Source organism: Homo sapiens, chromosome 2 (assembly GCF_000001405.40).
Source record: "Homo sapiens chromosome 2, GRCh38.p14 Primary Assembly".
Classification (NCBI taxonomy): domain Eukaryota; kingdom Metazoa; phylum Chordata; class Mammalia; order Primates; family Hominidae; genus Homo; species Homo sapiens.
Window position 1 is genome coordinate 161,160,913 of NC_000002.12, and position 27,894 is coordinate 161,188,806.

Genomic DNA, 27,894 nt, shown 5'->3' on the forward strand with positions numbered 1-27,894 from the left:
GAAAACTTAATTGGTTCTTTCTGTTGTTTTCCCAAGGTGGTTGCACAATTCCCCTCTGCCTTCCTGTGGGGTGTCATCATAGCCTGGTCAATGAGAAGTTGGGTAACTTCCCAGAGGGTCACGGAGGGAGTGGGTGGCCAAGGCAGGAAGAACAGAAGCCAACCCCGCCCACAGTGGGAACCCAGGCGTTAGGTAGAGTCCTCACGCCGGTGTAAACTGACTAGCAACGAGTTACAGGCAAAAAAGCTGTGCTTTTCTAGAAGTAGAAAGGGGGAGGATAATCAAAGAAGAGCTGTGCCTTTATTGTTATGCTATAACGAGCAAAAGTAAAGCAGCCTTGCTATGTAAAGTGGTGTTTATCTCACCTCACAGGAGATGCTTTTGACAAGTTATAATAAGGGAGAGATGGTAGTAAAGGAAGTGAAGAAGCGACGTGAAATTGAAGGAAAAGAAAATGACCTGCCTTCTTACCGCGGTTGGAATACACACCCAAACGAGAGGTAGCAGAGAAGCAAGCAGTGCATTCTGTTAAAAATTATTGTGTCCTCATTTGAGAGAGGAGGGATCCTCAAATAATACAACTATGTGCAAAGCAGGAAGTGAAATCCTTCTCAGTCCTCTCCCCAGTTGTAATCCAAGCCTTCCACATCTTTCCTGTATGTGCATAACCATGTTATTTTGCTTTCTTATGAAAATGAGATTATGCATACTGTTCGATAATCTGTTTCAGATTAAATATATATATATGGTGAAAGTCTTGCCATATGTAGCTCTATTTTATTGTAATGTTGGCGTGGTACTGCATTGTGTAGATGTACCAAATTATAGTTAACTGTCACTTACTATGTCCTGTCCGTATATATTGCCCAGTATTCTTCAAAATTATCTGTTTCTCATTAGACTACAGATTTCATTAATCCTTTGTGAAATATATGGCAAATATTTTCAAGAATTATCAATGCTTTGGTTTAAAATGCCCAGGCTTTTTATCTCAGGTAAGAAGGTAGTCCCCACTCAAAAATTCTTAAAATCTTCTCCTATATTGCCTGTTAATTCTCTTTTTATGATTTACTCATTAAAACATCTGAAAATGATTTTTGTATGCTAAGATAAGGATTTAATTTTTTTCTTTGTTTTTATGACTAGGCAGCCATTTTTTCCTGAAATCATTTGTTGAAATCATTTCTCTCCCAACTGACTAGAAATACCTCCTTAATATAGTAAATTCTCAAGTGTACATGCATCTTTTCTTTAGACTCATCTGTTGCTTTGATCTTTTTGTCTCTTCCTTTAAAAATACCAATCTGCTTTGATATTACGTTTTCTAGTAATTCATAGGACAAGTCCCTCTTCATTTTTCCTTTTCAAAATTTTCTTGAATATAATTGCATTATCTTTGAGATAAAATTTAACATAAACTGTTCATGCTTCATTAAAATACTCTTTTTGGGATTTAACCATTATATTTTCTTATATTTTGTGACTGGTATGTAGATGAGTGTTTATGTATCTGGCCAACTTTCTAAATTTATTAATTTTAATAAATTGTTTCACTTGAATTTTCTAGGAAAACAATCATCTAATTATAATTCATCTTATCTCTTTCTTTCTTTGCTTTAGTGAATTGCTGGCTTCCCCAGAATAGTGGTAAATAAAACAGTGATTCTGGCCATCCTTTATCTTGTTTCTTAGTTTGGGGATGTTTTTATTATGTCATCATTAAATATGAAGTTACTATTAATATCTAATAAATTATATTTATCAGGGAAGTTTCCTTTAATATTTCTAGCTCATTGTGATTTTTGCAGAGAACTGTTTGGATTGCATCCAAAGTCATTTTTGCAACTGGGGATGGGGAGTGTCTATTGTATTAGATAGCACTTTGAGAACAATTTTAAATAATAGATATTGGATGTTCATTTGGTGTGTATATTCATTACTTCTTAACATTTTTATCAGGAATGGAAGTTGGATTTTGTCAAATGGCTTTTTGACATCTATCATAACCTTTCATAGGTACTTTTCATCTTTGACCTAACAGGATAGTGAATTACTTTAGTATATTTGCAGTTTGTGAACCAATCTTACGCTTGGTCATGGTGTAATATTTAAGTATATATTGGTTCCTTTGGTAGCATTTTTATTTAAAATCAATGATTGAGATTCATTTTATACTCACCTTTTTCTGTTATTTTTGCTAGGTTTTGGTATCAAGGTTATGCTGGTTCCTAAAAAGAACTGGGCAGAGTTCCTCTTCCTCCGCTCTGATGTAGTTTAAATAGCCTAAGAACTCTGCTCTTTGAAGATCTGAAAGAATTCACTCATGAAACCATGTGGGTCTGGGAGTTCATTGTTCTTAAGACAGCAACAATACTCAGCAAAATGGTTCAGAACAAACAAAAACTCCTTGGAGTAAATACAATTGAATGAAAGAGTCTGGGACACGGTAATGTCAAGAACTAAGAACAGCTGCTGTACTGATGCTGGTTATTTCCCCCCTACACACAACTTTTTTTTCATGGACAAGGAAAAATGCTGTAGGTAGGCTGAGGCTGTTAAGTAAAATGTCTTGCTATTCTTTCTCTTCTCTTCTTCAGTTATGTTACAGAAGCAAGGGTATTGCTTCTACATGGGCAAATTTGTCTATGCCCTGAAAGAAACCAAGAGTGAAACTCAACTGGGAAAGCATCAGTTTCACTTTATTGTCACTAGCTTCCCAATTTTGCCGGGAAATTTCTTAATTTAAAGGTAATAACCAAGCTGACATTTTACTGTAGCCAAATCCTACAGAGGGTTTCAAAATGAGTGGGTGAAAAAATATACAAGCTTAACATGCTTATACTTATTTAACATGAAGTGAAAATCATTAGCATAGTTCAGGTATGTGCATGGTATGTGCACGCACATGGGGCAGTGCTGTCATCTAACAGAAGCCCACCTTTTTACTTGACTAATGGTTTACTGTTAATACCTCGATAATAGTGTAATCTTTGATAGACTTTTATAAATGATTATTTCAAATGCTTTTTGATCACCTTCAAGAATATGACCTGAGACAGGTAATGTAATTTAGCAGTTTGCATCTATGAACTGTGGAGGATACCTACAGACACTGAAGCGTTACTAACAGTAGGATGCAGGCATTATGTGAATGCGTGGGTATTTTATTTCCATTTATGGGCTACTATAGCAAAAATAATTGGGGAGTTGCCCTATGATGAAAGAAGACTGCATGTTTTTTAAAACCATACCTTTGTCCAAAAGCAAATGGTAAATAAAAATAGACTGTTGACATAAAGCTTCGCTATTTCGATGCTATGCATTAGCTGATTGACTGTTACTGTTTATCCTTTTTGTTTTCTAACACCTTATAAGCATAAAATATTACTGTTTAATTGCAGTTCGTTTGTGTTCAGTTACGTAAAGCCTAGTTTTAGTTTCTATTTCCTGTAGGATTTATGCTGTGGCTGCCATTTCCCACCTGTTATCTCCTATGCTTGCTGCCATGGTTTTGAATCATAAATACAGGGAAAGAGGAGGCTATTATTTAGATATGTAACAAAAATCGCTTTATAGTTCGGAACCAAGATTATGATTATCTTCAGGAAGGGATAACAGAATATGAAATGAACTACCTTTTCAGTGAGTTGTTAATTAATTTTCAAAGTCTTTTGAACTAAGTGCAGTATTTGGTCACTGTTCAAATAAGTTGAGGGTAACTGGTACCAAGCCCTATGCAACTGAAAACAGGCTTTGGGACTTATGTAGTACATGTGTCACATTTTCCAATTCCTAATCTATAAAAGCTTTTTAAATTGTGGTAAAATTCACATAACATAAAATTTACCATCTTAACCTTTTTTTAAAGTATATGGTTCAATAATGTTAAGTGCATTCACATTGCTATGCAACCAAGAAAAACATTTTTAAAGGGACGTATTTTTCTTAAGGAAAAGAGTTTGGGAAGTAAATGATGGCAATTGTTTGTCTCATGGAAAATTTCCTGGACAGTAACTTTTTACCTTCAGAGATATATTCTCTATAAATGGTAATTATCAGTAGTAAGTTATGAGAGTAAACATTTTGAGTACTAGTGATCTATAATAGCTTTTACTTAACACCAATACTTTTTTTTTTTTTTTTTTTTTGCAAAAGGAAGGGTCTACTGAAAATAGGTTGCTAACATTGACAACAAAGTATTTTAAGTCATTGCAGTAAGGAATTACTGGAAATTGAGTAGACAAAGAAAATTAATATGAGTTCCATTTTGATGGTTACTTAGCAAGTTGAACTTATGAGAGTCTTTGAAATAGTTGCAGTATGAGAATTGTTCTATTGAACAGCGAAACAACCCAATCAGGTAATAGTTTTTCCAGAGAGTGACTTGCTATAAGGGACAGAAGTTAGAGACTTAGATTCTTTCAAAATAAAGGATTTTTTTTAATTGCTTGAAGAAGGATTTTTGGAATCAGCAAATCAACTGTTATTGTGAGAGATTTAAGTGGTTTTACTATTCACAACCATTTATTATGTGGCATTTACTGGAATGTGGTTTCATAACCTCAAGTATTTGGAATCCCAAAAGTAGAAATGCCTTTCCCTTGAGATTGTTGTTTCTCAACCTTTAAAAATCCATATTTCCTTTCTGATAAACATTAAAATCTCACAAATCCTAGAGGATTGTAATACATGTTCCTTCCCATACAGTCCTACTCCTCCTCTACACCTCACCATACTGACTACAGACTTTCTCTTCTAGTTCCCTCATCTGTGAATATTATGCAAAGTCCTTCTTTATATGATTTATGTAATAGATTTTTAATATTAACTATTTCAAAATTGTATATCCTTCCTCCCCCATCTTCAGATTCTAACATTGCCCCTAGTCAGAGGAGAGGATACCCCTTAAAGATTACTCAGTTCAGCACAGCCAACTGAGCAGTGCCATGTTTACGTTCACCTCAGAGGAGTAGAACATCACATGCCTGCTTTCCCTTTTGGTGTTATACTGTTTAGTTGTGCACTTAAACCCATAACATTTGATAAATAGTCTCAGAGAAAGAAGTATTACTGGAGAAAAAAAGGAAGTAAGGCAAAACTGAGACTCATGGGTGTGGTCTTTGACAGTGAAATCTTTTAGCTCTTGCAAGATCACATAGAAAATTTCACCAAGTTCTAACATCCAGCAAAATGGAGAACATGTACTGGGGACCTTTGGGTTTAACCAGTGAGACTGTCTTGTTTATCCTGTTGCATTTAGCCTTCCAGCTTATGGAAAAATACAAAATTCAAATTCTAACACTGCTGGATTTATGATATTTAAGGTTTCTATTATATCAGCTGCCTGGATGGAGCACAGAAACAGCGTAGTACAATATGCTATGGGTATATTCATGACCAAAGTTTACAATGTGGAAGGAGAATAGAAATGCAAGAGGTCAGTTGGGGAATTAGCTGCTTGTGTTATATAACTCCTTAAAAGTGGAAAATGATCACAAGTAAATGTGAGTAGTGACAGTTCTCTTCCATTTCCTTTCTTCAGGTAAGGAAAACACACTTAATATTTTTGAGTGTCTTTAAAGATCTTCCTAACCATCCAAAAGAGAAGATGTCTTATTTATGTGTATATGTCGTGTTGTTGACTGATTTTTTTGCTTTTTACTCCTGATGTGTTTTGTGGGTGAGAAGGCAAGCATGTAACTAAGATACAGAAAAGACCAAGATGTAGTGGGGCACAGTGGCTTGACGCCTATAATCTCAACTACTCAGAAGGCTGAGGTGGAAGGATTGCTTGAGGCGAGGAGTCCAGGCTGCAGTGGGCTATGATTGCACCGCCACACTTGCTGCACTCTACCCTTGGGGGACAGAGTGAAGCTCTGTCTCAAAAAAAAAACAAAAAACAAAACAAAAACACAGAATTTGTCTTTCATTCACTGATTCACCTCTTTATGTACTACAGTGGCAACTTTTCTGAAATAGAATATGAACTCCTCTTATTCATAGCCCAAGGGGTTGGGAAAGGCTGGTGGCTTTCTTTTCTAGGGCAAAGTGGAAGGAGTAGCAGTTATTCAAGGTGGTTTCCTTTCCCCATCCTGAAACTGCTTTAGATTTGAGTTGGTCTCTCACCACAAGTGTGAACTCTGGCAGAACATTTACCCAGAAACAGAATAGGCTCAGCAGTTGGGGAAACCCAGCAGAGGGGCCTTGCCTGCCTCCCAAATTACTCACACTTGTCTCAACCACCTACAAAAAAGTAGACCTTACTAAAGAATGACTAATCATCCTGGGGTCAAGATGGCGAAAATCCTACCTTTAAGCCTTTGATTCTCTTCAAACGTGGAATTCCAATGTATATATACATAACTGATCAAAGCTCAGATGTTCTGGTTGAACAGGCAGTTAGAGGTGGAACATGATTTGGCTCATACACTGTCAGCCTCAGTGCAGCTCCAGAGGCACCACTACTTACCCTTGATTACTACTTTCTTTATCCAGGATTGGTTGGCTGTCATTTGGCAGGATAATGGCTGCCAAAGACAACAGACTTAAGATATTGTATCTATTGTCAACCTAAAGAAATGGAGGCAAAATTAATATGGGGAATTTATTTGGGTAAAGGTTGACGACAGCTGCCTTGGACACACTTCCAGGTTGCCTTGGGGGGTTGCTCCATTCGGCCTTTGTTGCAACCAGGTTTTTGTTTGTTTGTTTGTTTGTTTTTGTTTTTTGAGATGGAGTCTCTCTCTGTCACCCAGGCTGGAGTGCAGTGGCGCGATCTTGTCTCACTGCAAGCTCCGCTTCCTGGGTTCACTCCATTCTTCTGCCTCAGCCTCCCAAGTAGCTGGGACTACAAATGCCCGCCACCACGACCGGCTAATTTTTTTGTATTTTTTAGTAGAGACAGGGTTTCACCGTGTTAGCCAGGATGGTCTCGATCTCCTGACCTTGTGATACGCTCGCCTCGGCCTCCCAGAGTGCTGGGATTACAAGTGTGAGCCACCGTGCCTGGCCGCAACCAGGTTTTTAAAGGCAAAAGAGAGCAAAGAATGGGCTGATACTAAGTTATTTGATAGGAATTCTCACTGGTTTACAGAAATAACATTGATTAGTGATTATACATTGTTGAACTATAGGGCATGAGTTTTGGTATCTAACGTATGGCATTTTATGGCTACTTGGCATCACATAGTAGGTAGCTTCAAGAGGGTCATTTAGTTCACGGGAGAGTGAGGTGTGACTGCTGTCACACACTTACATTTCAGTGCCTCTCTGGGCCTGATAATTAAAATGGGTTTGCACTCCTCACATTAAAAGTTTTTATTTCTCACTATGAAATAAGGAGGGAAGTTCATTTTAAAAGGAGTGGCAGAATAAGGAGAATTGGAGAACCAGTACAGAAGATTCAAAACCCAGATAGTAGAAGTCCCAGAAAGGAATACAAAAGGAAAGAAATTGCCCCAAAAAATTTTCAAGAAAATTTCCAAGAACTGAAGGAGGAATTTCCAGATTGAAAGGGCCCACCAAACACCTATTGCTATGATATAGTCCATGGCCAAGTATGGTCCTGAAATTTCAGAATCCTAGGGACAAAAAGAAAAAAAATCCTAATTGTTTTCAAAGAGAAAAAAATCGGTTTAAGGCCAGGCACAGTGGCTTATGCCTATAATCCAAGCACTTTGGGAGGCCGAGGCAGGCAGATCACCTGAGGCTGGGAGTTCAAGACCATCCTGGCTAACATGGTGAAACCCCGTCTCTACTAAAAATACAAAAATTAGCTGGGTGTGGTGGCGTGCGCCTGTAATCCCAGCTACTGGGGAGGCTGAGGCACAAGAATCGCTTGAATCCCGGAGGTGGAGGTTGCAATGAGCTGAGATCACACCATTGCACTCCAGCCTCGAGCAACAGAGTGAGAATTGTACAAGATCAGGAATCAAAATGGATCTGATCCTCAAAAAAAATAAACAGAAGCTAGAAGATAGCATAGCAAAGCTTTCAGAATTCTGAGGAAAAATTACTTCCAACCTAGAACTCTTAATCTAGCCAAAGGATCCGTTAAGTCAGAGGGTAAAGATATTTTTAGTTATGCAAAGCCTCAAAAAATTTACTTCCCAAACACTTTCTTAGGAAGCTGCTACAAGATTTGCGTCACCACGTGGGGATATAAAACAAGATTCAGGAGACTGAAAATGAGGGATTCAATTAAAGAAAGAGATGGACAAAGGGTATCCCCAAATTCAAGGTAAAGAAGGTCCCAAGATGAAGGCTTTCCATCAGGCATAGAGAGCAACTAGTCTAGATTGGAGCAAGCCAGAAAGCTTACAGAGTGATTCTTCTAAAGAGATAGAATACCTGACGTGTCTGAATATATTGAGGAGTTGTATTAGTGATAATAGGAAACAAAGCAAACAAGAATTTTCAGGGAAAAAAGTTTTCAGAAAAGGAAAAGTATCCATGGTATTGTTCAACAGTGAATAGCATTACATAGTAATAAGAAAGTAAAAGCTGAATGCTAATCTAATGAAAAATTAGATATAACTGTATTGGGGAAATGGGGGAGAATAGGAGGTAGGGGATATTTAAAGAGAGCTGAATCCTAATTTTCCATAATGAAGAGACAAAAACTGAAAAATCAGTAGTGGCAGTATTACATGTTATTTAGGGATACAGAGATAAATACAAAAAAGAATTAGTCAAAATTTGTTGCGAAGGTGAAGCAGGAAATAGGAAGGGGAAAGCAGAGGACTACTGTTTTTCTTATTTTGTAGAACTACACAACTCATTAAGATATAGGTACGTATAGCTCTGATTAAAATAAAAAATTAGAGGGGAGAGAGCTAGAGATTGTGCTTTAGCAACAGAGACCTAGGTTTATCTGGTTCTTCCATTTTCTAATTCTGTGCCTTATGCAACTTATTTACCCTTTTGAAGCTCAGTTTTGAAGTTCAGTTTCCTCCTCTGTAAAGGGAAGACAATATATGCTTCTGCAGAGGGAAGATTAAAAATGAGGTAGTTTATGTAAAGCACCTGCAAATAGATCTTTGTTCCGACCCTAACCCCAGTGCTTCCCATGATCAAATAGGGAACCACCTTCTTCATTGTTGGGATGATTGCCATCCAAACAGAAGACTGAGATTGTCCTTCTTATCCATGACTCTTTGTGCCTCTTTGAATTAAAGGCATGTCTTTGAGATCTATCTTGTCTCTCAACTATCTGTAGATAGTTTGAGAATTGAAATAGAATTAAGATGATTAGAGTATTGATAGGAGGAACATCAAGTTAAAAGTGTCATTGCTACTTAGTGGGAGATGGGCTATGGTCAGTCAAATTTCTCAACAAGAACTTCAACAAATGCCATTAATAGAGAAAACATTTGTTTTCTCTATTAATTAAGTTGATGAGTTGTGGAAGTTTTATGGAAGCAAGATGAACAAAGTGCTGTTGCTCTGGGCCATCTGCCAAAGTATCAAAATACCTTTATTTATTTATTTGAGAAAGTCTTCTACCTTAGCAACTGCTATTTTTGTTCCGAAATTCTATATACTTCTTGTAGAATAATTAAAAAGCAGATCACTATGGGAAAAAAGGCAACTTTATGAAAGCCTGTTTCCCTGCGTTGGTGCATATTTGTATAGCATTTTATAGTGCTTTCCAAGCTATGACTCGACCCCCTATGGCAGTAATTTTAAATCCATCTTACATCTCCCCACTGTACAAAATTAGATCCAGGAGTCTTGGACAGGGTTTGGTAATGTATTTTTTAAAACCACCGTGGATGATTCTAATTTACTGACAGGTTGCGAACCAATGTCCTACAGCCTGACTCTACGCCAAGATTCTGAATTGGGAGAAATGGGGGAACAGAGGTCCATAGAAAGGTTAAATGACTTGTTTACTCTCACCCATCACCAAGCCTGTCTAGACTGGACATGTATTGTATACTTCAACTCTGATTTTATCTTCAGTTGACTAGGCTTTTTAATTTAGAGTATCTGATCTAAATTGCCTTAGCAGAGAAATTAGTACATTTTACACAAGATGTGGTATAGTTAAAAATATCATTTGCAATCTTTATTTTATAGTGTCTTTTTATTTTTTTCCAGAGGCAAAAGGAAGTGAAACAGCAAATCTGAGTTTCTAATCAACTATTACTTCCCCACAGTAGGGTGGCACAGCAAGTGTTAAGATTTACTAGGTCTGAATATTCATATTTGAGGTAAACTGGTGTGGCCTTGAAAAGGGTAGAAAGTTGGGTAATTTTGGCACAGATGCAAGTTTGGAATGTTGATCTGTTGGGCTGCCCAGGGATTTTTGTAGCCTTCTCTTTAGGAATATTCAACAGTCTGAAGGAGAGAACTTGTTGCATGGTACTGGATTAAAAATATTAGATCTGGTTTTAAGCTAATATGTTAAAGTCATACCCTAAACATCTTCAGAATGGCTGAAAATGGAGATCCGGAAATCTCTGAAACCTTATTTATTTTTTCATTAGAGTTCTCACAATTACTTCTAATAAAACAAGTTGTGACTTGCAAATCCAGCAGCCTATGGATGTCCTCAGGGAAATTAAAAACAAGGGATATGAAGAGCTGTAGAGTCCTGTGCCAGTGGTTAAGAGCACAGAGTAAAGCTTTATAATTATGTAGGTTTTTGCCTGTTCCTATTTATCATTGGTAATGTTCTCAAGGCTAAATGGCTGCTCAGCTATTTTAAATTGTGATTTAAAGAGAAATTAGGCCCTTTTGTGAAAAGGTCCTCTATCTCTTGAAATTTCAACTCTTTTTTCATAGAAGAGCTCTCTTCCTCCATAGTGGTTTTTTCTGATACAGTAAATGACTCAGGGATACTCGAGGGGCAGCCAACTCGTTAACTCATAAGATTTTAACTACTTCTCTTTCGAAACAACTTTACCATTTATGAATCTTGTGTAGCCTGTGACTTCTGTTATTGTCTTGTGTTTTGGGGGACCTTTTTGAGATTACTGAAAATATTTTTTTTCAAACTTTTCTGGTTAAGACCAGAGGATAGATACAAACTGTACCACTCTTTTGAAAAATCATTAGTACTACCTTATTATTTATTTATAAATCTGGTAGAGTAGAAGATACTTAAGGAAAATCTTGCATTCAAATACTCTGCCAGAGTTGTTTTTCCTGTTATTTAACAGCATAGAAAGGTTAACAAAGCAGAGCATTAGATAACATTTCTACATATTGGATTAATAGTCTTTTTACATAAAATAACAGACACAAAATGTCATACACTATTTTATGCATTTCCTAGTTTTCCTTCTGGCCTCCTTCAAAGAAATAATAAGTGGGCCTGTCCTCTTTTTTGGTTTATATTTGGTAGGAAAAACATGTACATCTTGTGCTATAAGGTGGTACAATAATGCGTATTGCTTTTCTCTATTGTTTTCTTTTCAAAAATGTAGTTTTTTTCGGCTTTTTTTTTTTTTTTTTTTGGGGGTAAAACGATTTTGGCCTAATTGGCCATCCAAGGATGTACTAGTATCAGGAGACATTAAAAACAGGACTTCAAGAATACAAACAATAGTGAAGGCATAGTTATCTTCATTTTTTTCCTATAGATAATTATGCAGGTGATGCTTTCTTCCTCTTTATTATGATGTCTTTTCTAGCACTGTTGTCCAAAATTAGATTCAGTATCTTCCCTCTCCTCCTGAAAATTTTCTTTCTGTCACTTTATGTCTGGCTATCACCACTTTCTACTGGGTGTTTTGAAAACCAGTGGCTGGTGAACCATCTGCAACAAAATCACCTGAGGCGCTTTGCTAACTAGAATGTAGATTCTGAGGTCCCATTTCAGGCCAACTGATTTGCAGTCACAGGTACCTGAATTGCTGCCCTCTTGTCTATTGTGCACATCCAGTCGGCCACCAAATCCTGTTGATTCTACTCTTGAAATGCCTCTTGAATCCACTCATCTTTATTTCCCCTGCTCTAGTTCAAGCCCTCATCTTTTACCTAGAATACAGCATTAGTTGCCTGTGGTATAGCCTCACTTTGTCTCCCTCGCTAGTTTGTAGTCCATGCTGTTATCTGTTCTGTCTAAAATATGTCCATCATCTCCTTGAAAATCTCTCATTACTCCTTGTGTCAACATGTTAAAGTCTAAATTTCTTAGAGTGACATTCGAGGTCTACTATAGTCTAGCCATAACTGAGTCTGCTGCATGTGGTTTATGCAGCCAGTGTACTCTACAGCTCTATAGGATGCCATTCCAATCATGGTCTTTATGTATGGTCTTCCCTAGAATTTTTGTAGTACAGCACAGTCATACATGCTGACCCTGACCATAGCTTATCATGGCACCCTCACCTCGCTATCATCTCTGCACACATGCTAGACTTGCATAAACAGAATACTCCCTTCACTAAAATGCACCATATTAATGACTTTTCAGGGCCTCTGCTCTTTCAGAATGAATGTACTTTGCCCACTCATTCTCTACTTGTTGAAACTCTTCTCATCTTTCGGGACTCTGTTTAAGTGTCAGATCCTCTGTGAAGCCTTCCACAATCCTTATTTTGATTGTTCCTTCTATTGAGCCTTTATCTTGTTTATACCTTTTACTTAACAGTTTTCTTCTTCTTTTTAGGTAGAACTGTGAATGAAATGCGTAAATCTCTAGTGAACCATTGGTTGAGGTCTACAAATGCTTATACCTGTGCTACACAGACCTCTGTGAAGATGTGCCCAGACCTTTTTTTTTTAAACATTTATAATTGACCTTTTGGCTAATTATTTTCATGTGTGTCTGCCTCACTCAATTATAAGCTCTAATTGGAGAAAAAGGCAAAGACCATGACTGTTTTTCACTTTCCCAGGGAGAAAAGGAGTGCCTATTGTGTGTTCAACACTGAACCAGTCTTGAACATTGTACCAATCAGGATACAGCTCAGTTCCTCCTTTAGAGACCCACAAAACAGTGGTTAAACAAGGGTTGCCTGCATCACAGTGTTCTAGGTGGCTTGTCACTGTAACATTCCAACCAGCTGGGAAAAAAGGTGAAAGGGAAAACTTGTTATGGAAGTTACACCCATTTGCCAATGACTAGCACGTAGTCACATGACCACACCAGCTAAAAATCAGAAGTATTAGTACTATAAGAGAAGGAGAGAATAGATATTGAGGAACAAATAACATATCTTATATATATGGTCTCACTGAAGTTTTACTTAATTTTTACTGTATATATGGTCTCAATTTTTATTGTAACCCTACAACTATGTATGATGTGAAAAGTGATGTTCAGAGTTCAGTAAATGGCTAGGAAATTGCAGATCTGGGGTCTGAATTTAAAGGCTGTATTTTTTTTCAGTCTATTTAGTAAAGTGTTTAGGAGGGAATATATAAATGTTATTGAATAAACAAAAGTCACAGTAATTTTCACAGTATTACTTGTAATCACATATTTTTCATATCACATATTTTTACAGTATCATATCATCTCTTTACTTCCAGGACACTCTATATATAAAGTTTACTCCTTGCTTCTCACCATTGTGAAATGAAATGCCCTAGCAACTGGTTTGCAATCAAGGCTTAATTTGTAACATAAATTAAGACAAAGCAGCTACTGTTTTTAAATATATGATATCATTTATGAGGAAAAATAAGTCACCATATTTGCTGAGCAAAAGTTTTTATGTTGTGTATAGTTTGGTAATGTTATACAATTATAAAGTTAAAGGAGATTCTATTATCCAAACTCTTTGTCTTAATAACAAAGAAAATCAAGGCTGCAGAACTTGCCTTTTCTTTCATTTCCACCTCTACTTGCTTTCAGGCATCATGGGGAAAGCTTTAGCGTAATCCGTCATGTTTATAGTAACCATCATTGTTATGCTTAAGAATTGTCTCAGGTTTGCATGGTTGTCCTGATCAGGAAAATCAAACTGAGCAGTGCATAAGAAATGCATATAATCCTTGCCTGTTTTAGTAAAGAATTGATATTATTTAATATTAAAAACATCCTTATCACAGTGGGAAACCTGTTTGAAAAAGGATGACTGCCGTTTGATAATTAAATAAAAGGAATGGGTAAGATCATTCCCACCTATATCTCAACACTCTATTCAAATGCCACCTACCTCTCAAAGCCTTTCCTAAACTTCATAAATAGATTAACTTTCCTCTCCAAACTCTAGCCTTTTGGATATCTTAGGATGCTCATATACTATATGCTTCAAGTTACAGTTAATGGTACCTTCATGGGAGGAGATGCCATGTCTGATTCATTCTTACTGTATCAGTGGTACCCAGCACACTTCTGCTCATAGTTGGCACTAAATATTTTATCAAATAAGCATATTGACCATAACACCCTGGGAGAGCACTTTGCAGCTGACTCTAATGAACAATCCTTGAACCAAGAATTTTAAAGATTTAATCTAGTTCATAACACAGCTTTATAGCTATAGATAAGTCATTTAAGCCTTCTGAGCCTTATCAGTCAAAGAGGAATGTTAATATGTAATAGGAAATGAAGAATTGGTGAAAATACTTTGTGAAAGAAACATAACTTTAAGATAGTACTATATCTGAATCCCTTGCTGTTCCCCATATGGTGCCTTACACATCATAAGCCAGCAAATACCTTGTTCTGATTGAATGGTAATGGGATATATTTTATTAAAATCAAAGTTTTGCTAGGGCTGGGAAGCTTTACCAAAGGAAGAGAAAATTATCTTTCTTGCTCATGCTACCTCTCTTACTCCAGGACAGTTTCATTATTGAACCAAGGGATCAATGAAAGAGGAAGCAGGGATTTTCTTGGTGTTTCTTCATGGACAGGCACACCATGGGCAATCACTGGGCTGGAGAGGTGGGACAAGAACCGACTGCCCTCAGTTTTGCTTGTCTGAACCACTGGTCTGGGTAGGAAAAAAGGAATTACTGCTAGATTGACAACAGTGGGTAGATGAGAGTATCCAGGCTCCAGAAGAACTGCAGGGGACAAGATTGGGTTGGTGATTTGCATTGAGCTAGCCCTGCTACCTTCAGGGATTTCAGAATTTTTTTCTCATGTAATGGAAGGAAACCAGCAAACCAAATCCAGAAATAAAGCAAAACCCTAACTAGGAGAGTGTTTTCAAGGGAGAGATTGCTATAGCATCAGCCTCTTGGGTTTGGAGAATGAGCTTAACCATGAGATTTAGGTTTGAGCATGTTTACTATAAGTAAAAAGCATTTTCCTGGAGTCTGGCAAATATTGTGGAAGATGTACTGAAATGTAATTGAAATGTAGCTGCCTCTTAATTTTATACTTAACAAATGCCAAAAATAAATAAATAAACAAGTGACTTTAAAGTTCAGGGTGTTAATATTTGAAATCTGTCCAGTTTAATTAGCTGAGTCCCAGAGACTTTCCTTTTTCTCTGGTCAGTGTTGCTGATCTAACACCTAATTATCTTCTTGGTTGTGAAATAGGAATTAAAAGTATCATTTACTTATTTGTATCAACCTGGAACTTATTTCTTTAGCATACATTCTTATTTCAGGAAATAGGATGCATCCGTGTGGAATTTACTCAGTAGCTCCTCTCTCAGTGACATTTGTGTGATCTAATTCAAGGACCTGAAGGGATGGCTCCACATGATTTACTTGCATATGATGCAGCTGTTTTTAGTGCTGCATTTACATTTTTAAAAACAAGAATGCACCTTCTCGATAGAACAGACATGCATTTTTAACTCACAAACTCAAGAACTGTAGAAAAAGGAAGTTTCTTAGAAATTGGGTCCAAACACCTTTTTGTACTGAAGAAAAAGAAACTTTGGTCCCAAAAGATTTAGTGGCCCTTAACTAAGGGTCAGTCAGTAATAGAACAAAGCAAGGGACTAGATGGATTTCCAGTTCGAGGCTCTTATTTGTCTCAGATCTAAAGGTACAGGTGTGGTTTATATTGACAATTTTTCATGACATGCAGCTTTTTAAGGCAGTGATAGATAGCTTAGCCGCTTAGCTACTTAAAACCTCTAACTTCTGTATTAGTTTATTATAGTATATTATAGTCCCTGTGACTACCTATACTTACTTTTTCTTTCCTCTTTGCATATTTATTTTTAATCTCATGTATTTTTTGTAAGTAGCCTTAGTATGTTTTCGAATGAAGCAGTGTCTAAAATACTCAAAATGATGCTTTTTATTAATGCTAACTGCTTATGTTTCCATAGTGTCTATGTCTGGGCCAAGATCCTAGCAACATTAATTATCGTAACAGGATTTCAACTTTTTCATCTATCAGAGGTAGCAGTAGAAACTAACTTCCTAAGTGGAATGCATAAAGAATTGCCATTTCTTCAGTTTTTCAGAAAGTAATGACATTGTTATCCAAAACCCTGGAATTGTTTTTATTGAGCCTGGTAAATTACTTAAAATGTATTTAGTATCTTAAAATGAAAGACTTTGGCTGAAAGATTACTTGCATGTGGGTATTAAAAAAAAGTTGTGATTTATGATCAGTTGATTTTTGGCAAGGGTGCCAGGGCTATTCATGGGAAAAGAATAGCCCTTTCAACAAATAATGCCAGGACAATTGGCTAACCTCATGCAAAAGAATGAATCTGGACCCCTACCTCACACCTTATACAACATTAACTCAGTATGGATCAAAGACTTTAATATAAATTATAAACTACTTAAAAAGAAACAATTGAAAATCTTCATGACCCTGGATTAGGCAACAGTTCCTTAGATATGACAGCAATAGTACAAACAACAAAAGAAAAAATAGGTAAATTGGACTGTATTAAAATTAAAGACATTGTGTGTCAGAGGACACTATCAAGAAGTGAAAAGGCATCTACAGAATGGGAGAAAATACTTACAAATCATATATTGGATAAGAGTCTAGTTTCTAGAATATATAAAGAACTTTTAAAATTTAACAATAAAAAGAGAAATAACCCATTTATTACAAGTGGACACAGGATTTGAATGGATAAATTGCCAGAGTTACACAGATGGCCAATAAGCTCATGGAAAGATGCTCGTCATTAGGGAACTGCAAATCAAAACCTTGATAGGGTATCCTTTCACACCCACTAGGATGGCTGTAATTTTTTAAGTGGACTATAAGAAGTATTGGTGTGGATGTGGAGAAATTGGAACCCTTATACAATGCTAGTGGAAATGTAGAATGGTACAGCTTCTGTGGAAACTGGCAGTTCCTCAAAAAGTTAAAGATAGAATTACCATATGACTCAGCAGTTCCACTTCTAGGTATATATCTGAAAATATTGAAAACGTGTTCACACAAAAATGTATACACAAATGTGCACAGTAGCTTTATTCATAACAGCCAAAAGGTGGAAACAACTCAAATGTCCATTAACTGAGGAATAAACAACATGTTGCATATCTTACAATGGAATATTATTTAGCCATAAAAAGGAGTCAAGTACTGTTACATGCTACATCATGGATGAACCTCAGAAATATCTTTCTGAAAGAAGCCAGACACAAAAACCATGTATTGTATTATTCCATTTATATGCAGTGTCAAAAATAGACAAATTCGTAGAGACAAAAAAAAAAAAAGATTAATGCTTACCAGGAGATGGGGGAAGAGGAGGATTGGGACTAACTTAATAGGTATGGACTGTTTTAGGGAGGGTGATTAAAATGTTCCAGAATTATCTTGATGGTGATGCTTGCACAACATAATGAATATTCTAAAAAATACCAAAGTGTACACTTTAAAATAGTGGATTTTATACTATATGAATTGTATCTCAATTGAAAATGTGAAAATTTAAAAAGTGTGCCTGAAGATATAACAAAAGATGTTATGACAGATTAGAGACTGAAATTTTAAAGAATTTTCACAAACATGAAATAACTCGGTACCCAATATAACTGATAGAGAACTTTGTCTAGTCTGTGACTTTTAGAGAATTAAGAGAAAGGTCCTGTGTTGTGATTTTTACAGTTGGACAGGAAGAATCAGAGTCATTAGTTAGCCTTCTGCTCAGAGCCAAGGAATGTCGTTAAGAGATGTTATGCAGACTGAGGTTATAAAACCAAATTACCTCCACTGAGCAAATCACCTGTATTCAGAAACAGCAGGGAAGTTGGAAAACTAGTCGGTAGTGGGGGTAGGACTGAAGGGATGTGATTTTTCTTTTTTAACGTACAATGCAACAGTGGCTCTCCCTAGATTTTGTGCTAAAATAAGAACATTTTCACACATTTTAATTGCTCTGTGGTAACAACAGTGCGAACTCCATCCACAAACATTTATTATCTATTTAATTTTGCTCTAATTTCAGTGTAGCAAGAATTCACCTCATAAGTGGGAGTAAGAGTCCATTTAATAAAATGAAATCCCTTCCCACATTGCTGATCCTATTGTACATTTCCATAATAAAGAATTTAAAATGGCCTTTTATATTTTCTCATTTTTAGGTTAAGTTTATAGATTAGTATTCTCAAAGTAGCATCTTCCTGAACCGGAACCCCACTTGCTCCTTGAACATTAGAATAAGAATATTTTAAAATTGTGGAACTTAAGGTTTCATACAATTTCTAGTCAGGATTTTAGATGAGACTTATGTTTATAGTACTTGGTGGTATAATGTTTGTGGTAAACCTTATAGAACTATCTTTAAGATGCATTTTTAAAATGAGGTTTATGTAACTTAGTAATTATCTAAATTGATCTCATTATTTTGCAGACCTGTCATTTACTCCATCCTTTATAGTGATGCTACAGGACGAAGAGGAATGGATAAAAACATTGGCGAGCAACTCAATAAAGCGTATGAAGCCTTCCGGCAGGCATGCATGGATAGAGATTCTGCAGTAAAAGAATTACAGCAAAAGGTGTGTGGTTCTGGTTTTGAAAGTTATTCTTTATCTTGGTACATGGAATTTTAGAGCCTTTTGCATCTGAAAAATGTTATATTGTTAGAAATTGCCCTGAAGAACTATAATTACAGAAATGCAGGTATATATTAATGGATTAAATTTGAAGTTTTTGTTTGTTGTTTTTTTTAAAAATATTGCAACCCATAGGAAGAGTTGATTTGATGGGCTCCTTTTCAGGTGATTGTGAAAGATTGTGAATGTTGTCTTCCATAAATAATTTTAAAATATCAGTATTTATAAATAAGGAGGAAATAACTATAAAAACAGTTTTATGACACAGAAGTATCACTGTCTCCATTTGTTTGGTTTTGGTGTTTTTTATGTTGTTATTTGGCTGACAGGAAAACTTTTCAAATCTTAAAATATTTAAGAACTAAATTTGGTATTAATTTATAATACTCTTCCATTCTTTATAACAATTCAAAGTAGACTATTTCAGTGAAATCTTTAATGACTTACTAAAGTTTCAGCTTTTACAATTATCCCTGTACACATAACATTTATTTTTAGTACTTTTAGTTTCAGAAGAAAGTAAATTGGAGGAAAGGCATATCCAGGCAAAAATTACTTAACCTCATAGTTCTTAAGCACATGTCTGTTACTGGTTCATGATGAGATTTTCACTGATCTGCAGCAAAATGAGAAAAATAAGGCTAATTATTAAACTTCTCATAATGCTACATTTATTTCATCTAAAATTCTGCCTTCTATTCTGATGTTATGTTCCATGTTTCCATACGATCAAAGTAAAGAGCAGAATTTTATTAACATATACTTTTGTGAAATGATGATGATAGGATTCTCTCCTTTTTATTATGTTTACATAGTAGTGTTTCAGAAGTCTCCAATTTCACCTACACGTTCTGTGATTCCCCAGAAGGATTCATGCAACTCAACATTGGATCATACTCATAGTTAAGATTTATTACAGTGACATAGTAAAGATATATAGCCAGATTATTAATGGAAAAAGACATCAGGAGGAGTCTAGAGGAATCCATGTTGTTCAGCCTTCCTATACACCTTTCCTTCAACTTTAAAATTCAGTAACGTGTGCAGTATATCAGGAACTCCATTTTAGTTTCAGAGTTCAGGGTTTTTTTTTTTTTTTTTGAGGATTGATCACATAGGCACCCTCTTGTCAACCAAAATTCCAGATTCTCTCAAAAGGAAAGGTGTTCATTGTAAATCTCATTGTATAGTCTTAAGTGGGCTGGCACAGCAGGCACAACATTATCATTTAGGAAAGGTTTTCAAAAGCCAGGTTCCCAAATGCCAGCTGTATTAGTCTGTTCTCACACTGCTATACACTGCTATAAAGAACTACTTGACGGCCATGCATGGTGGCTTGCGCCTGTAATCCCAGCACTTTGGGAGGCTGAGGTAGGTGGATCACCTGAGATCAGGGGTTTGAGACCAGCCTGACCAACATGGTGAAACCCCGTCTCTACTGAAAATACAAAATTAGCCAGGCATGGTGGCACATGCCTTTAATCCCAGCTACTTGGGAAGCTAAGGCAAGAGAATCACTTGAACCTAGGAGGCGGAAGTTGCAGTGAGCTGAGATTGCACCATTGCACACCAGCCTGGGTAATAAGAACGAAACTCCATCTCAAAAAACAACAACAACAACAAAAAAAAACTACCTGAGACTGGGTAATTTGTGAAGAAAAGAGGTTTAATTGACTTACAGTTCCACAAGCTTAACAGGCAGCATGACTGGGAGGCCTCAGGAAACTTACAATCATGGCAGAAGGCAAAGCAGAACCAAGTACCTTCTTCAAAGGTGGCAGGAGAGAGAGAGAGCAAGGAGGGGGGGATGTGCCACACACTTTTAGCATCAAATCTCATGAGAACTCATTCACTATCACAAGAATAGCATGGGGAAAATCCGCCTCCATGATCCAGTCACTTCCCACCAGGTCCCTCCCCCAATATTGGGAATTAAAATTCAGCATGAGATTTGGGTGGGTACACAGAGGCAAACCACATCACTAGCCAAGGGAAAACTTGCACCTAAACCTTTCTGAAGATAACAGCCTCAGGCCTGCTGTGTTAAATTACTTCTGCACAGGCAGTTGAAAGTGAGAGATCTTATGTTGGTTTTCCCAATTAAAAAAAAAAATTACTAGCCTGTGAAACTCTGAAGTCTAATATGCTAATATTTTGGAAAAATTCTCGAACCTTGTTTTTCCTCTAATCTCACACAACAACAATAATCAACAACATAGAAGAGGAGAACAGGAGAACGTCACAGAATTGAAGTTTAGAATTTGGATTTTTTTTTTCCATTCAGGTTTAAGGCATAACCATTTTTATTAAAAAAAAAAATCTCAGAGTTTATTCTTATTTTGTGATTAGGTTCATTAAGAAGACTTGACAATTGTGACCAAATGTGTGTGGGTTTCTCCCCACATATTAAGCAGTGGACACCAGCTAGATGTCTTCCAATTCAGTTCCAACACCATCTACTCAGAGATAACATCAGATCCGACAAGTAAAGGGCTCAGTCCCACAAGACCACCCTCTCCCCTCCCCAAGTTGCAAGTCCCAGCCTCCAGAACTTCTAACCAACTAGTTTCCAGTTGGAGTTCCCACAATCCCCTCTTTGGGTTTGATTAATTTGCTAGAGTGGCTCACAGAACTCAGGGGAACCAATACTTACTTGTACCAGTTTATTTTGAAGGATATTTTACAGGATATTAACATCCAAATGAAGAGACATATAAGGTGAGGTCTGAAAGGGTCCCAAATACAGGAGCTTCTGTCTTTGGGGAGTTGGGGTGCACTACCCTCCCAGCACGTGGATGAGTTCTTCATCTTTCTGTCAACCTTCATATGTTCAGCTCCCCAGAAGTTCCCTGAACCCTGTCCTTTGGGGCTTCTATGGAGACTTCATTGATTGTCCATGATTGAAGAAGGGACAACCAGTTCAAAATGTGATTGCACAAAAAGGGTGTGATCTAAACCCAGCAGTTCCTGTCTATTCAGATTCTTCTTGGTCATTCTGTGCAGCATTCCTTCCTCCAGAGTATGCAGCAAGACCCTCTCTGGAATGAAGGTCTGATAACCCATAGTCATATTAGAGTCCTGTCTTCAGCAAGTGAGAGGAGGGCAGGAGAAGGTTAGAGAGACTGTTTCCTGAGGCGTGCTTCCAAGGCCTGAAGCACCTCAGTATTGTAACAAAAGACTATAACAAGAGTTGTGAGAGTTACGAGCTAGGAACCATGGACAAAAACCTAATCATAATGCCACAGCTAGCCATGCAATTATTAGCTTCTTCCTTAAATACAGGAGCTACACAATTTCCTTCTCCTTTCTAATTGATAAATCTATAAAACTAGCTGTCATTCATAACTCCCTCCATTCTTCAGAAATCATTGTTATTCTTTGTGAGTCTCCTCTTGGTTTACAAAAGAATACTCCATTATGGAATACCTATGAATACTTATGGACTGTAAGTCTTCATTAGGGGTGGATAGGAGGAAAGAGCGCACAGTATGAGAGAGGGCTTTCTAAGATTATTGAAATGAAGTTTAGAATTTGAATTTATTTTTTTTTTCAGTTCAGGTTTAAGACATAACTACTTTTGTAGAAAGCAAAAAACTCAACGTTCTTCTTAGGTTCATTAAGAAACCGTGACAATTCTATATTTCTTCTAGAGGAGTATTAAGATATCTTTTGGATAAGACAGAAACAGGAATTCCTGTTAACTCCTATATTTTTTGCACTAGCCATTGGTAAGCAATTGGGAGTTTAACCCCTTATCTGCTGTGGAAGAAGCCTTTGCTCACATTAGCATATATTCCAAAGAAGGAAAAAGGAAAATTTTTTTACATTTAGTTTTCAAAGCTAATATTTGTTAAGTACTCAAGAATGGATGAAGAAAAAATGTATAATATATATTCTTGTATGTTAAAATCAAAATATTCTGGTAGATTTATTTAAGAAACATTTATTGAGTACCTCCTAAGTACTGGGCCCTTCATGAAGTTTTGAGAATACTGAAATAAATAAAATATCATTTATATCATTAAGGAACTTTAAAAAGTTCAAATAAATCATAAATAAAATAGATATTTTACTATATAGTAGAATAAAAAAAGTAGTTATTACTATAGTGTATTTTGTACTATAATAGAGATCAGTATAGGATAATACATGAGCACAGAGAAGAGACACTTGGTCTATGAGAATCAGTTAATAAGCTCAATGTGAGTCGATACTTGAGCTAAGGTTAGGAAGAAGCAGGAGGAGCACTATATATTAAAAAAAACTCAGAAGTGAGAGAGTATATGATACATTTCATGTACCACAAGGAATCATATAGCTTCAAAGAGAATGATGGGACATTCCAGGAAAAGAACCTGTAAAGGTAGATTAGTATGGCTAAGTAGTTTGTACTATATCCTTTTCAATCAAAAGTTATTGAAGGATTATTTGTGCTTTGGAACAGTCTTCCTGACAGTGGGATAGAGATAGATAGGATACAGAACAATGTGAAATTGAGCTCAACAAATATATATTAAGAACCTATTTCATACTAAGCAATGTTCTAAGAGCAAGCAATATAAAATAACTGGCAACTATCCAGTTGCACTTTATGCACTTTAATATATGTATTGATATAAAATTATGTAGTTATATGATACATAAAATATCTATTAATATACATACTAAATGTATGCACATATATATTATACCTCAATTTTTTAAAAAAGTGAATGGCAGTCATTTCAAGCAATCAAAATGAGGACATAAATTAAGCATTAGAGATGAGTTGGGGAAAAGATTTAAGGTTTATTTAGGAGATAAAATGGAAAGCAGGGGTGCCTGAATGCAGGCCACATCTGAGGCCTGGTACCCTCTCAGATGGTGTCCTGGTATCTGGAATAAATTACTGGATTAATGGTGGTGCTGATGACTGAAACCAAGGATGGATAAGAGGGTACAAATTTGGGGTAGGGAAATAAGATCTATAATTAGGTTTTAGTTAATAGTTGTAGTTACCTGTGAGGCTTATAGGTGAAAATGCCAATGGATGGTTGTAAATTTGGATCTAGGCCTAGAAGAAGTTCTGAATTGGAAAGTGTAGATATGGAAGTAATGGATTTTATTGTATCCTTAAATGTGGATAACATCTCCCAGTTAAGAGTGTATAGGTTGAAAGAATATTTGAAGGACAGAAGTGGGAGATGGAGAAGGAAGGGAAGAAGATCAGTCACTTGGCCTCTGGAGATTCAGAACATAGGTTAAGCAATTTGAGACGCATAGGAAGAGAACTTGGAGAATACCAATATTTTACAGAATAGGCATAGAGAGGGAAAAATCATTAAGGAAACTAATAAAAACTACTCTACAAGGTAAGAAACAAATTATAGAAAAAGAATGTAGTATCATAGAAGGCATTAGAAAAGAGCTTCAAGAAGGAAGCACTGGTTAGCAGTACCAGATATCCAAGAAATCTAGTAAGATGACAACTGAGAAGCCAATTGCATTTGGCTATGTGGAGGTTACTGACATTTATGAAGGCAGTTAAGTTGAGTGGGAAGGGCAGATTGTAGTAGGCTGAGGAGAATTAGGGAATGAAGAAGTAAAGACAATATAAACCACGTGGTTAAAAGCTTGACTGTGCAGAAGATAAATAGAGTGATAACTAGTGAGGTTTTTGGTTTTTTGTTTTTTTTTTCTTTTTTTGGATGAATGAAACAATGTGGAAGAATATATAACATAGCAGAGAGAGAGGAGAAAGCCTGAACATAGAGTGAAAAAATAATTCATCATTCTCAGTAAACTATTGCAAGAACAAAAAACCAAACACCGCATATTCTCACTCATAGGTGGGAATTGAACAATGAGATCACATGGACACAGGAAGGGGAATATCACACTCTGGGGACTGTGGTGGGGTGGGGGGAGGGGGGAGGGATAGCATTGGGAGATATACCTAATGCCAGATGACGAGTTAGTGGGTGTAGCGCACCAGCATGGCACATGTATACATATGTAACTAACCTGCACAATGTGCACATGTACCCTAAAACTTAAAGTATAATAAAAAAAATAATAATAATTCATGCCTTTTTACAATCACATTACACAACAGCCAGAGTGATCCTTTTAAAAAGAAATATTTAAATGTTAATTATATCAGTCTCCTACTCAAAATTTTTCAGTGATTTCTATAAAATAAAAGCCAAAATTATGAACAAAATTAGCTGGACATGGTGGTATGTGCCTGTAGTCCCAGCTACCCAGGAGGCTGAGGTGGGAGGATTGCTTGAGCCCAGTGATCCTGGGAGATTGAGGGAGTTTGAGGCTGCAGTGAGCTGAGATCACACAACTGCACTCCACCCTGGTGACAGAGCGAGACCCTGGCTCAAAAAAAGTAAAACAACGAAAGTCCTTCCCATGGCCTACTAAGGCAGAGCCTAATCTGGCCCTTACCAGACAGTCCATTTATCTCCTACCACTCTATTCTCTCACAGCCTTTCTACCACATGGGCTTCCTGTTGTTTTTCAAATATATTCCTATTTCAGAACCTTTGCATTTACTATCCCATTTGGTTGGAGTGGTTTTTCTTTGGATATTTTCATGGTTTTCTCCCTTATTGTTTTCCTCCTTTATTGCTTTCAAGGGCAGTCTCTTCAATAAACAGTGCTAGGAAAACTAGATAACCAGATACAGAAGAATGAAAGTAGACCCTCATTTCTCACCATGTATAAAAATCAAATCAAAATGGATTAAAGATTATATATAAGACCTGAAACTATGAAACTACTAGAAGAAAACATTGGGGAAATGCTTTAGGACATCTGTCTGGGCAAAGATATTTTGGGTAAGATCTCAAAGGCACAGGCAACAAAATTAGACAAATGGGATTACATCAAGTAAAATTACACAACAAAAGAAACAATCAACAAAGTACAGAGACAACCTACAGAATGGGAGAAAATATTTGCAAACTGACAAGGGATTAATAAGCAGACTGTATAAAGAAAATTCAATAGCAAAACAACAAAAACAAATCAATTTTGAAATGGGCAAAAGATCTGAATAGACATTTCTCAAAAGAAGACATGCAAATGGCCAACAGGCATTTTAAAAAATGCTTACCATACTAATCATTAGGAAAATGGAAATCAAAACCACAATTTGATATCATCTCACCTGAGTTAAAATAGTTTTCTTGATTAAAATATTTGACAAAAAAATAACAGATGCTGGCAAAGAGGTGGAAAAGGGAGAACACTCATACAGTTGTTAATAACCAAAAGAGAGCAAGAGTGAATATATTAAATCAGAGACAACAGACTTTAAATCAAAAATTGTTCCAAACTGGGTATGGTGGCTCACACCTGTAATCCCATCACTTTGGGAGGCTGAGGCAGGTGGGTCGTTTGAGCACAGGAGTTTAAGACCAGCCTGGGCCAACATGACAAAATCCCATCTGTACAAAAAAACAAAAACAAAAAACACCAGGTATGGTGGTGTGCTCCTGTAGTCCCAGCTACTCAGGAGACAGGCAGGTGGATTGGTTGAGCCCTAGAAGTGGAGGCTGCAGTGAGCCATGTTTGCACCACTGCACTCCAGCCTAGATGACAGAGCAAGAGCCTGTCTCAAAAATAAAAGAACAAAACAACAAAAACTACTACAAGAGACAGGAAAGGGACATTATATAATGATAATGGGTCAGTTTATCAAGCAAATATTAACAGTTATATATGCATCATATGCCAGAGCTCCAAAGTATATGAAGCAAGCATTGACACTATTGAAGGAAGAAACATTACAGCTCTATGATAATAGTAGGAGAATTAAAGTATTATACTTTAAACACTTTAAATAATGGATAGAACAACTAGACAAAAGATCTGTATGGAAATAGAGGATTTGAACCACATTGTAGAGCAGTTGGACCTAACAGACATATGTAAAAACCCCAGCAACAACAGAATACACATTTGCTCAAGGGCATATGGAGCATTCTCTGGGAGAGGCCATTAAAAATGACTTAATAAATTTAAAAAGATTAAAATCATGCTAAGTATATTTTCTAATCACAATGAAATGAAACTAGAAGTCAGCAAAAGAAAAAGTGGGAAATTCACAACTATGTACAAATTAAATAACACTCTTAAACAACCAGTGGGTCAAAAAAGAAATCACAAGGGAAATTAGAATGAATATATATTGTGACAAATGAAAATGTAAATACAAAGTACCAAAACTTCTAGGATGCAGTAAAAGCAGTGAATAGAGAAATGTTTAGCTGTAAATGCATGTATTGAAGAAGAGAGATCTCAAATCAGTAACTTAACTTTATGCCTGAAGAAACTAGAGAAAGAACTAAACCCAAAACTAGCATAAAGAAGAAAATAATAAAAATGGAAACAAATATAAATAAAAAATAGAAAAACAATAGAGAAAAACAACGAAAACAAGTGTTGACTATTTGAAAAGATCAAGAAATGTGACAAACCTTTAGTTAGCTTGACTAAAAAAAGAGGGAAGACAAATAACTAAAATAAGAAAATGAGGACATTATTACCTACTTTACAAAAGTTAAAAATATCATAAAAGAGTGCTATGAACAATTGTATGCCAACAGATTGGATAAGCTAGTAAAACATCCTAGAAACACACTAACTACTAAGAATGAATCATGAAGAAAATGAAAATCTGAATAGACCTTTACCTAGTAAGGAGATTGAATCAGTAATCAAAAACTTCCCAACAACGAAAAGCCTAGGATGAGATAGCTTCACCAGTGAATTCTGCCAAACATTTAAAGCAGAATTAATACCAATCCTCTCAGTCTCTTCCAAAAACTTGAACAGTATGTAACACTTCCTTACCCATTCTATGAGGCCAGCATTACCCTGATACCAAAGACACTATTAGAAAAGAAAACTACAGACTAGTATCACTTATGAATATTTGCTATGGTTTGAATGTTTGTCGCCTCCAAAACTCATGTTGAAATTTAATTGCCAGTA

At 36.3% G+C, this 27,894-nt stretch overlaps 1 protein-coding gene across 13 annotated transcripts in view, besides 9 other annotated features; it reads left to right on the forward strand.

The window, feature by feature from the left end:
- The window catches only part of TANK (TRAF family member associated NFKB activator), a 99,268-nt gene that overhangs the window by 23,950 nt on the left and 47,424 nt on the right, over positions 1-27,894 (forward strand). For 4 of the 13 annotated variants that reach the window (NM_004180.3, NM_133484.2, XM_005246207.4 and 1 more), the window contains exon 2: positions 18,702-18,849. In NM_004180.3, the coding sequence (NP_004171.2) occupies positions 18,751-18,849 (99 nt within the window). In that variant the 5' untranslated portion in view covers positions 18,702-18,750. Of the gene's footprint in view, positions 1-36; positions 2,542-16,199; positions 16,341-18,701; positions 18,850-27,894 lie in introns of all 13 variants that reach the window. The other 9 variants (XM_047441820.1, XM_047441804.1, XM_024452335.2 and 6 more) reach the window with 7 other exon arrangements.
- Positions 3,410-3,579: an enhancer, noted in NCBI's record as "experimental_54722 CRE fragment used in MPRA reporter constructs". NCBI's record gives its function as "activates a minimal promoter by MPRAs in K562 erythroleukemia cells, with activity observed for the introgressed 2:162020918 variant allele {active_cell/tissue: K562}" and the evidence as "EXISTENCE:reporter gene assay evidence [ECO:0000049][PMID:34662402]".
- Positions 5,801-5,850: an enhancer, noted in NCBI's record as "active region_16705". NCBI's record gives its function as "activates an Ori minimal core promoter by ATAC-STARR-seq in GM12878 lymphoblastoid cells {active_cell/tissue: GM12878}" and the evidence as "EXISTENCE:reporter gene assay evidence [ECO:0000049][PMID:35858748]".
- Positions 5,861-6,250: an enhancer, noted in NCBI's record as "active region_16706". NCBI's record gives its function as "activates an Ori minimal core promoter by ATAC-STARR-seq in GM12878 lymphoblastoid cells {active_cell/tissue: GM12878}" and the evidence as "EXISTENCE:reporter gene assay evidence [ECO:0000049][PMID:35858748]".
- Positions 5,861-6,330: a biological region, named in NCBI's record as "ATAC-STARR-seq lymphoblastoid active region 16706".
- Positions 6,161-6,330: an enhancer, noted in NCBI's record as "experimental_54726 CRE fragment used in MPRA reporter constructs". NCBI's record gives its function as "activates a minimal promoter by MPRAs in K562 erythroleukemia cells, with activity observed for both the introgressed and non-introgressed 2:162023669 or rs3769979 variant alleles {active_cell/tissue: K562}" and the evidence as "EXISTENCE:reporter gene assay evidence [ECO:0000049][PMID:34662402]".
- Position 6,246: a transcriptional cis regulatory region, noted in NCBI's record as "Neanderthal adaptively introgressed variant 2:162023669 (GRCh37/hg19 assembly coordinates) or rs3769979 in the experimental_54726 CRE". NCBI's record gives its function as "modulates activity of the experimental_54726 enhancer by MPRAs in K562 erythroleukemia cells {active_cell/tissue: K562}" and the evidence as "EXISTENCE:reporter gene assay evidence [ECO:0000049][PMID:34662402]".
- Positions 6,311-6,360: an enhancer, noted in NCBI's record as "active region_16707". NCBI's record gives its function as "activates an Ori minimal core promoter by ATAC-STARR-seq in GM12878 lymphoblastoid cells {active_cell/tissue: GM12878}" and the evidence as "EXISTENCE:reporter gene assay evidence [ECO:0000049][PMID:35858748]".
- Positions 8,752-8,921: an enhancer, noted in NCBI's record as "experimental_54734 CRE fragment used in MPRA reporter constructs". NCBI's record gives its function as "activates a minimal promoter by MPRAs in K562 erythroleukemia cells, with activity observed for both the introgressed and non-introgressed 2:162026260 variant alleles {active_cell/tissue: K562}" and the evidence as "EXISTENCE:reporter gene assay evidence [ECO:0000049][PMID:34662402]".
- Positions 22,138-22,307: an enhancer, noted in NCBI's record as "experimental_54744 CRE fragment used in MPRA reporter constructs". NCBI's record gives its function as "activates a minimal promoter by MPRAs in K562 erythroleukemia cells, with activity observed for both the introgressed and non-introgressed 2:162039646 variant alleles {active_cell/tissue: K562}" and the evidence as "EXISTENCE:reporter gene assay evidence [ECO:0000049][PMID:34662402]".